Source organism: Homo sapiens, chromosome 4 (assembly GCF_000001405.40).
Source record: "Homo sapiens chromosome 4, GRCh38.p14 Primary Assembly".
Lineage (NCBI taxonomy): Eukaryota > Metazoa > Chordata > Mammalia > Primates > Hominidae > Homo > Homo sapiens.
In genome coordinates this window covers 180,826,921-180,830,496 of record NC_000004.12, presented here as the reverse complement: position 1 = coordinate 180,830,496, position 3,576 = coordinate 180,826,921, and the positions used below count along the sequence as shown (strand labels likewise).

Genomic DNA, 3,576 nt, shown 5'->3' with positions numbered 1-3,576 from the left:
TGTGTCCACTGACAAGGAATCATAAGATGAACAAAATGTGCCTCTTGATGGTGTAGCCATTGATGATGTGGGTCAGAATTCCAAAGATGACTCCCTAATATTCCTATCTTCTGGTAACTCAAACAGTCATCTACGCACTGCAGAGGTTCTGTTGTTGTAATTAAAGTCCCAAATCAGGTTGCCTTAAAATACCATGATTAACTGGCATGTGCCTCACTTAAGCACACACATCCTTTAAAAGGTGATGACAGCGGCATGATGGGAAGTCAGGAAGATTCAAAGCATAGGAAGGATTTGACGTGGCATTGCTGGCTTTGAAAATGGAAGGCCCACAAGCCTGGGAATATAGGTGGCCTCCAGAAGCTGACAACAGCTCCTGGTCAATAGCCAGCAAAGAAACAGGGACCTCAATCCTACAGCTGCACATGACTGAATTCTGCCGGCAACTGAATTGACTGACTCTTCTCCAGATTCCCAGGTAAGAACTCAGGCTAGCCCAACCCCTGAGTGTGGCTATGTGAGACCCTAAAGCAGAGGGTCCAGGACTTCTGGACTTCTCATCTGTAGAATTGTGAGCTAATAAATGGGTGCAGTTCTAAGCTGCTAAATATGGTAATATGTTACGCAGCAGTAGAAAACTAAGACAGCCATATTCTTTTCAGTTCTCATGCTTTCCATGGCATAATCTCTGCTTTATTTAAGTACTCAGTAAAGGTTTGCCCATGGCATGTTGAACTACTTCGAAGACACCTGTACTTATCTTTTAACAAAAGATTCCTTTTCATTATTTCTCATGGATCCTACTGATGAAAATAAAGATAAGCATATATTCAAGGAAATGCATTTCTACATCATTATCTGAGGACAATATTGGTGATGTCCCCTGGGTATTCAGGTTTTAAATGAGCCAGTTCAACAGTATCTTGATACATTTCCTGATGTGTCTCACACTCTTTTTCTTATATGCAAATTTTTCTATCTAGATTATATGCAAGTAAAGTTTAAATTCTATATTATTTCTGTGACGGAAAGTTATTGATCTTATAGCTATCATGTTGCTATCAGACAAATGTCCAATTCTAATTTATCTGTTAAGTTTATTTTAATTTTGCACTGTAAGCATCTGTGTCACACTAAAATTGTTTAAAGAAGTGTTTATGCAGGCTGTTTAAGAGGCAATGTGGAAAGAATAGTGACCAAGACAGAAAATTCTCTTGTATTTGAAGCTCTGTCCCAGAACTTGTAGCTGCTTGGCACTGGGCAAGTTACCGCTTCTCTCCGTTTCCCAGTAACTTCATCCAATACTTCAAAGGCTGTTGTGGGAATAATTGAGTTAATATATGCAAAGTACTTAAACAGCGCCTAAAACCATTAGAATGACACAAGTACCTGATGTTATTATGTAATTTCGCAAGTCTACATTTGAAATTTAAATACTGTCTTTATGTAGGATCTAATTACTTACAAGCGTCCCTTTGGCTGTGTCCTGTGAAATTTCATTTTTAAAACCTCTGATGGTAACAAAATTGCTTTGAATAATCTCTCTTAAATATTCTGGTATCTGTAAGGATCCACATTTCCAAAGACATTTTTAATTCAAAATGCTTCCTACCTTCAGAAGAATACCAGATTTTCTAGAAATTTTAAAAGTAAGATTCTGAATTCAAGGTCTGTATCTGCAACATGCCAATGGGAAGCTAGAGAGTAGTTAGTGTTCCCTGCAGAGTGACAGCACTTCCAATATTCACTCATGAGTCTCTTCTAAATTACCACTGAAACGTGCAGCTGAGGATCACATGCATGTCTGACCACTGAGCTGGAATATATAAGATGATATTTGAATTTGCTTTTCTGGGATTGAAAGGATAATACACCAGCGCCACCTAGTTGTCCAGATACAATGTGCTACTTATTTATTCTTGAAAGGAATTATGCTCTTACAAGTAGAAATGTAAAATTTTAATTTTTTTTACCATTGACATAGGCCCTGTATTTATTTTAACAAATTCTCATTTCTGCAAGTGATACAAGTGATAAATTCAAGGTTCCATTTAAGGTAAATATTCCTCATGTTTATTTTATTTATACAAGAGGATTGGCAAACCTCAGATACTAATCTTCATTAATTTGCTTTAATTTTGCTGTAAAAATATCTGAATTACTTAACACACCTGCCACATCAGCATATATCAGTTGTATATTACTGTGTGTCCCAGTATCTTAAGCGTCACATAGCAGAGCATATTCTTTCTATTAAAATTAAGATTGTATATGGGATATTCTGGAGGTGAAATACATTTTTTCACACACTGCATAAGAATTAAATGTTAATTCTGTAATAAGGTACACACGCAGTTAATGGTCTCTATTTTTTACTCAGCCTGAGCAATGTGCGGAGGTGGCTGAAGCCCCTTCAGTAAAATAATCGCGATGTGTATTTGACATAGCTGGTTCTGGAAGGCAGGAAGTTCTGCCAGGTCTCGGCTGGAATCAAACACCTAAGGACACAGACCTGAGATTGCTCTGCAGCCAGACGGAGCTGGAGTCAGGAACTCAGAGGGAAGAGAGATGCTTCAGGCAGTGAGGCCCAAGGCAACAAATGACTCCAATGTTTAGACAAGTTCTGGGAAGAAAAGAAACTGTACGTGCAAGCTACGCATCTGTCAGTAAGCCCTCATCTATGTGTTACTGCATGTTCAGACAATTTCAGGATACAGAACCTGAAAATCATATAACTGCTGAGTCATCGTCCTGTCTACTCACCATGACAGAGTCCTCCCAAATGGAAACTGGTTGCCAGCCCCCCACTCTTCCTTTTTCTAATAAAGCAGCTGATACATTATTGTCCCCACTGGGCTCAGTCACTAGCTAAACATGCTGCTGTGGGAATAGTTTTGGGGATAAGATACACAAAACATACAACAGGATGGGGCAAAGAATTAGAGAAACATCAACTTGGAAAGAAGGATGTGACAATTCCCTCTTCTCTTGGGAAAGTGAAAGTGAAAGCTTTTCCACATAGCAGAGAGAGAGAGTGGTTCACACTGTGTCCTGCATCCCTGTGACCTTTTATCTCACCATTGCTTGTTATATCACCCAGATTGTCACCTCACGGGGAGATCCTTGGGACCTGCAGCCTCATCCCTTCTGCTTCCTTCTGACCTAGGAGTCACCTCACGTGTTGGACTGTGGCTGAACTTCAGTGCCCAGTCCTCAGCAGCGGCAGATCTCAGCTCCTGCAACATTTGTTCCAAGATACAAGACACTGTGTGCAGATAATTACGTAGCTTTTGAAATTCTAGCAAAAGCTAAATTCTTCAGTAAGGGAAAAATAGTTACAGAGTGCTTATAGGCAGGTGTAGGAATTTTATGTACAAATACAAAATATACTTTTTCTAAATATTTCCAAGTCCTTTTGGCCCTGGCTTAAAAAAAATGATTTAACATTTCTTATTAAATATGCAATTTGGTTCAAACTAAGAATATGTGTAGCCTTGAACAAGACATGCAGCATCTTTAGGCCTCTGTGAAAATGGCGAAGTTGGGTGACAAGACCACTCAGCATCCCACATGTCT

At 39.2% G+C, this 3,576-nt stretch overlaps 1 annotated feature.

Annotated features, from left to right (window-relative positions):
• Positions 2,149 to 3,348: an enhancer, noted in NCBI's record as "MED14-independent group 3 enhancer chr4:181748302-181749501 (GRCh37/hg19 assembly coordinates)". NCBI's record gives its function as "activates an origin of replication core promoter dependent on BRD2, BRD4, P300/CBP and CDK7 cofactors, and independent of MED14, by STARR-seq in HCT116 cells {active_cell/tissue: HCT116}" and the evidence as "EXISTENCE:reporter gene assay evidence [ECO:0000049][PMID:35650434]".